We start from the raw sequence: 7196 nt of genomic DNA on the forward strand, positions 1-7196 counted from the left end.
AGATTCCTCACTTCACGCGGGTCTGTACTAAAACATCACCTCCACAGAGAGGCCTTCCTTGCCCACTATATGTAAAACAGCACTCTCTTTGCAGCACTCTCCCACCTCCTCTCCCTGCTCAATGTATCCTCCTAGGCTTTAGCTACAGCATATGTCTGCTTATTTTATTATCTGCCTACCCTTATTAGAAAGTAATCTCCATGGCTGGGCATGGTGGCTCACGCCTGTAATCGCAGCACTTTGGGAGGCAAGGCAGGCAGATCACCTGAGGTCAGGAGTTCAAGACCAGCCTGGTCAACATGGTGAAACCCCATTTGTACTAAAAATAGAAAATCAGCTGGGTGTGTTGGCGAATGCCTGTAATCCCAGCTACTCATGAGGCTGAGGCAGGAGAATCACTTAAATCCAGGAGGCAGAGGTTGCCGTGAGCCAAGATCGCGCCACTGCACTCCAGCCTGGGCAACAAAAGTGAAACTCTGTCTCCAAAAAAAAAAAAAAAAAAGTAAACTCCATGAAAACACGGACTTTACGAGTTCGGTCGCATATTTAGAAGAGTACCAACACTTAGGAAATGATCCCTTAATATGTGTCAAACGAATTAATGAATAAGGACAAGGGGTGAGAAGGGAAAGGGAACTGACATTGTTGAGCTCTTGCCCTTTGCTGGGTGATGTGCCAGGCTTCCTCACCACTCTGTAGGATAGTCATGTTCTCACCACTACACACGTGGGCTCAAGACTCAGAAAATAAGTAGCTGCAAGTGCAAAGTCAAAATGTCCAAAATTACAGTCATGATCTTCCCTTCAACCTGTCTTGCTTCCAGTGCAGCCTAACTCAGTGAATGGCAGTGTCCTCTTACCAGTTGCTCAGACCAGAAACCTAGGCATCTTCCCCTGTGCACTCCCCTCCCTCATTGCCTATATCTAATCCATCACGAAGTCTTATTGATTTTGCCTCCTAAATACCTCTCAAGTCCATCTGCTTCTCTTCATGTTTACAGTTAACACTCTAAGTCAAGGAATCATTATTTTTCACTTAGATCTTGCAACAGCCTTTTAATTGACTCCCTTTTGCCATGATTGCCCCTCTAATAATTCATTCTTTTCAAAGAAACCTGAGCAATCATTACAAAATGTAGAACTGATTATGCCCTGCCCTCCTCTCTTGCTTAGATATTTCAATGATTTCCCATGTTCTTACCATAACACCAATGTCCTAGATTTGGTCCATCAGGCTGGGAGCCATCTTCCTTTGCCTCCTTTCTACCAATTTCCACTCTGCTCACTAGGTACTGGCCATGCTGATCCTGTGACATGTTTTAATTTAATTTAATTTTGTTTTTTAATTTTTATTTTTAGTAGAGACAAGGTCTTACTATGTTGCCTAGGCTGGTATCGAACTCCTGGCCTCAAGCGATCCTCCCATCTCAGCCTCCCAAAGAGCTGGGATTACCACTGTGAGCCATCTCGCCTGGCCCTTGTGCCATGTTTTTAAATATTCCAGGTACCTCCTCAGTTCACCCAGCACATTCTCATCACCCTCATTCCTTGTCCAGCTTTGGTGAGTTAATTCCTCATCCTTTAGGTTTCAGATCAATCATATTTTGAAAGTGTTTCCTGATCCCACAGCCTAGACTGATATGAACCATCATGGAACAACTGGCTTCTCCTTCAGGAAGTTTTTCACAATTGTAACCAAGGAATTGTAAAATTATGCCTGTCTTTCCTTCTACACTATAAGCTCCTTGAAATGGTGTCCTCTACATCTATCTTAAGGCTGTTTTTCCAGCACTTAGTGTAGTATTGCACAAAGAAAGCCCTTGGTAAGTAGTGTTGAGTTAATGAATGTAGCCCCATTTTGAATGATGAACCCAATAAGCCTAGACCCTGGCTTTGAACCTAAGGCTGCATGACTCCTAACTACACCAGGGTTCTTTGCAAAGGTACCGAGGTGAAAGGGCTGCCAAGGGACTATAGCGCAGTGGAGGAGGGAATTCCCAGCAGTCTGCAAAGTCCTGCCTGAAAGCAGGACCCAGGATGCACCTACGTGTGGGTCCAGTCCCAGACCAGGTGAACACAAGTGCTGTGTTCTCCCCCCATCACCTGGCTCCTTGGCTGGTTTAGATTTTCATTACTGGAGTTCACTTTTGTTTTTTTCCTTCTGTCTACTTTTGCAGCCTTGACAGAATATCACCTTTTAGGAGGTGCACTGCCTCATTTTGAGCTGTTAAGATAAGGGATGTGAAAGCTTAATTGATGGAGAGTGACGAGATAGGTACACCTGAAAATGAGGTGTGTGAGAGGAAATTCAATTTGTGGCGATGGTGACAGCTGAAACAGGGCTAGGCTGTTCAAGGACAGCTAGAATTAATTAATTAATTAGTTCATTCATTCATACATTCATTCATTCATACTGTGTCACTAGACACTGATATAACATGAAGTGTACAAGGAAAAAAAAGAAACATGTCACTATCTTCATGGATCTTATGTGTTAGTGTGAGAGAGACAATAAACAAATAATAATTAAATACATAGCAACATTAGGTGATGGTAAACACTTCGAAGAAAAATAGATGAGAGGGATTGAAGTGGAGCTGGATTTTTTTAGATGAGTCATCAGAGAAGGCCTCTTGAGGAGGTGACATTTAAGTAAAGATTTAATGAAGCAGGCCATATGAATACAGAAAGACTTCAAGCAGAAGAAATAAGTGGCATAGAAAGGAGTTTGGTTCATGCTTTAGTTAGAGGAGGCTAAATGCTTTAATAAATACCACCCACCCCACCACCAAAACTCAGCAGCTTGACACAAAAGAAGTTTGTCCCTTGCTCACAGCAGGGACTAGTGTGGCTTAGTGTGGCAGGGACTAATGTGGCTTAGTGGGCGTGGGGCCATGTATTCCTCCAAACATCTAGGTGTCTCTACAGCCGTTTAGGATCTTGAGTCCTCTGCCAGATCTTCTGCATCTCATTGGCTGATGAGGGTGTTATAAATAAAGTTTCAGTGCCGCAAAACAAATAGCACTCGAATATAAAATTTTCTTTGTAATTCTCAGCAACGCAATGTACTTGTATAGAAGGGTGCACCCTTACAGATGCAACAATGGTGAGCACACACTTGGACAAGGGAGAGGAAGGGGATCTTATCCCTGATGCATGTGGCCCCTGTTGCTGTGTCGTTCCCCTGTTGGCTAGGGTTAGACTGCGCAGGCTAAACTAATTCCGATTGGCTAATTTAAAGAGAGTGACGGCGTGAGTGGTTTGGCCGGAAAAGTGGTTATGGCAGAGCAGGAAATCGGAATGAGTCAGGGTGGAGAATGAGCAGGTAATCGGAATGAGTCAGGGTGGAGCAGATGATTGTAATGAGTCAGGGTGGAGTAGGTAATCGGAATGAGTCAGGGTGAAGCAGGTAATGGAAAAATGTTGCTTTACAAGGAAGTTAAGTTTAAAAGTAGAAGGCAGGCAAAGAATTGAACATACCGACATACTGACATACTGATTCTTTGAAGAGAAATTTAAAACTCCTATCTAACAAGGGAAATGGATCATGTGGCAGTTTCTACCAGTTAGGTCTGCAAATGTTATGTGTCACTTATGTTCTTATTCCACTGGCCAGAACTTAATCACATGCTACCCCTAATGGCAAGGAAGACTGGAATATGCAACTTGGCTGTGTGTCCAGTAGAAAGAGGATCGAGGCTTGGTAAACAGCTACTCAATCTCCTCAGGAGATATGAAAAATATGCAAAAGGCCAGAATGAGTGTTGCTGAGTGAATAAAAGATGAATTCAAGAGGTGGGCAAGTGCTAGGGCAGGTAAGGTCTTGAGGTCATGCTAGGGACTTTGTATTGTTTTCCTAAGTAAATTGGGATGCTACTGGAGGATTTTAAATAAAGTGATAGGCTTAGATTTAAATATTTTAAAAACACCTTAAAATCTCTTTGGAGACTATCTAGAGGGGGTAAGAAAGGCTATGGCAATCTTTCATGGGAGAAATGATACCATCGAGCAGATCATGGCTGTGGTGAAGTGCTGAGAAGTTTGATTTGGAAAATATTTTTGAGGGAAAAACCAACATAAGTTCTGTCAAATTGGATGTGGAGAATGAAAGAAAGAGAGGGAGAGGAATCAATGAAGTGTGCTGTTTGTTGTAGGCCCTAGGTAAATGGTTGTGTCATTTACTGAGATGGGGAAGAATAGAGAGGGTATGGAGACAGACATGAAGGAGTCTTTTCTAGACGTTTAGTTTATAAAGCCTACGAAGTAGCCAGCTGACGATATCAAGTGGGCAATTGGAGATGGGGAGCTCATAGTGGGAGAAAAGGGAGACTGGGGCTGGAGCAATACAGTGTGTAGTTATCAGTGTGTTGGTATATGAAACCAATAAAAACAGACCACTGTCAGTAGAGAAGAGAAGAATTTTGAGGGCCAAGCCCAGGAGTATTCCAACATTTAAAGCTCAAATCATAGGCTCATGGACTCAGAAATAAAAAGGCTCTAAGAGGTTATGAGGTCCAACCCCTTGTTTTTTCAGCAAAGAAATGAAAGCCCAAATGGTTAAACTGCTCATACAAGGTCAATTTGTGCTGCAGAATCAGGCAATAATCCAGACCCTTGGGTTACATGCCTGTTTCTTCTTAATCTATCTTATAATCAAAATAGTAATTCCTGGGATGAAGGATAAGAGAGTGAGGGGATCAATGGGATAAGAGGAAAAGAGAGGAAAACAAACTGCTGGACCATCTGTTTGCCTTCATCCTTGCAATAGGTGCAGAACACATACTATGTGAAGCACACAGTTTTAGGTGACTTTTGTATTATTTCAACTATAAGGGGGAAGGGAGAGAACTAAACATCAGCCAATACTGCAGGAACATTGCAGGAAACACATTTCAGATTCAACTGAGGGAGAACGTGATGAGTTCCTAAAAGACAAAGAAAACTCTCTCCATTGTCTTCATATTATAAAGCAGAAATTACTCTGTGTCTTCCCTTGTCTGAGGGCTCCATATTTAGGGTATGGTTGGCGATGAGGGGAGGTGAGGGCATGGCAAGAACGTAAAGGAAGCCATGAGGGAGGTGAAAACAGGGAATATGGCATTAAGGGCAGTTCCCACCTAATCAAATTGGGAGGAGGGTAAATTTGGAGACTAAAAAATAACTACAGATGCCGGCACGGTGGCTCATGCCTGTAATCCCAGCACTTTGGGAGGCCGAGGTGGGCAGATCATGAGGTCAAGAGATTGAGACCATTCTGGCCAACATGGTGAAACCTCGTCTCTACTAAAAATACAAAAATTAGTTGGGCGTGGTGGTGGGTGCCTGTAGTCCCAGCTACTTGGGAGGCTGAGGCAGGAGAGTCACTTGAACCTGGGTGGCAGAGGTTATGGTGAGCTGAGGTCGCACCACTGCACTCCAGCCTGGTGATAGAGTGAGACTCCTTCTAAATAAATAAATAAATAGCTACAAATAGTGATAAGATTAACAGTATACCAAGAAAATACTCAGGATGAGAAATAAAGTGCATGTAGTGGAGAGAAAAATGAACCTCACCAGGGAGGAGAGGGAGAATATTCCTATCTGCTGCCTCTGATTATCGTCGTGGGTGAACCAGGCAATTGCAAATAATTTAACTCCATCATTCCTTCTGGATTTGTGAATTGGAAATCTACTGCAGGGAGGAGTTTGCTCTTCGCCTTCATTTTTTTATTCATTTACATCAGCGTGTACTCACGGGTTCTTAGTTTACTCCAGGGGTTACAATATGTTACAGTCATTATTTAACACTCCAATTGGCCTGGACTTTGCCAAGGGGAGCCTCTTTAAGCTGGTTCCTGTGCCCCTTTGATATCCCCATCATTACTCTCTGGCACAAAATGTTTTCATTTCATTATGAATTTTTCATTCCAGGCCCTAGCCCTGGAGAGACCCATTTCTCCAAGAAGACTTGGTTTCTTTTAATGGAGAAAGATATTAAGAAACAAGATGTGATCTCCAGTGTTGTTGCTTCCAGAGTCTCTCATAGGGCAGTGCTAGGAAATCTATGTAGGTATGCACATATATACACCTGTATCTGTATCTATCTATCTATCATCTATCTATCTATCTATCTATCTATCTATCTATCTATCTATCTATCTATCATCTATCTATCTATCTATCTATCTATCTATCTATCTATCATCTATCTATCTATCATCTATCTATCCATCTATCTATCATCTATCATCTATCTATCTATCTATCTATCTATCTATCTATCTATCTATCTATCTATCTATCTGAAGTCAGTTTATCTATTATAAGCCAATTTGGTCCAGCACTATAAGACTTATTAGCATTCTATTTTTCTTAATTGTAATTCCCTTATCTGACAATGAAAAACCAGAGTCTCTTTATTCTCAAAATATTTATTCATTTGCTGAATCTGCTGGCTGCACCAGCTGAAAATAAGGTCCTGGATATGCTGGTGCCTCCCATCACAATTCCAGCCTCACCGAGTATAGGTATGCTGAGTATACGTTGAACCTGATGAAGGGCAAGGGGAAGGAGGAAGCCGCCTATTATTTGAGAAACTGTCATTGAAGGGGTTTCTCTCATGTGCTTCCAGCTATATCCTCCCTGCTTGTTTTTTTCTGTTTTCTCCTCTATTGTCCACTTCTGTGGCTTGCAAGGCCGTTTGTTGAGACTTTACTGTTACAATTGCCACAGGGTGAGCACAGTTTTGCTCTCAGAGCCAGTGTTGCTCAGCAAACCTGCAGCCCCAGGACACAGTGCCCCATGCTCTCTGCTCTGCCCTCTTTCCACCTCTCACCCCAAGGCCACTCAGCCTAAGCTCAGAAGGACAGGGATCCATCAGCTTCTGGCTCTCACCTTGCCCTGATGTCTCTCCCTTACTTTCCTTAAACAACAAGGAAACACACCAACAAAACCAGTTTTATTTGTTTCTGGGTCTTGTCTTATAATTGTAACTGTAATAGGTTCATTGTTTGATGCACACAGCAAGTCAATATGTGGAGACACCGAGTTGCAGTAAAGAGATTTAATCATAGGGCCACTGCATGAGGAGAGGGGAGGAAACCTCAAGTCCATCTCTCTGAGGAATTTTGGGTTAGGGATTTAAGGGCTTTGGAGAGGGCCCAGTGTGCAGGTCCTTTATTAGTCAAGAGTGCAAGGTGAAGTCACGGGGTAGGGAGA

General features: G+C 42.7%; 1 annotated feature.

Annotated features, from left to right (window-relative positions):
- Positions 2559–3758: an enhancer, noted in NCBI's record as "P300/CBP strongly-dependent group 1 enhancer chr2:139401763-139402962 (GRCh37/hg19 assembly coordinates)". NCBI's record gives its function as "activates an origin of replication core promoter dependent on BRD2, BRD4, P300/CBP, MED14 and CDK7 cofactors, with strong dependence on P300/CBP, by STARR-seq in HCT116 cells {active_cell/tissue: HCT116}" and the evidence as "EXISTENCE:reporter gene assay evidence [ECO:0000049][PMID:35650434]".

Source organism: Homo sapiens, chromosome 2, assembly GCF_000001405.40.
Source record: "Homo sapiens chromosome 2, GRCh38.p14 Primary Assembly".
NCBI classification, from domain to species: Eukaryota; Metazoa; Chordata; class Mammalia; order Primates; family Hominidae; genus Homo; species Homo sapiens.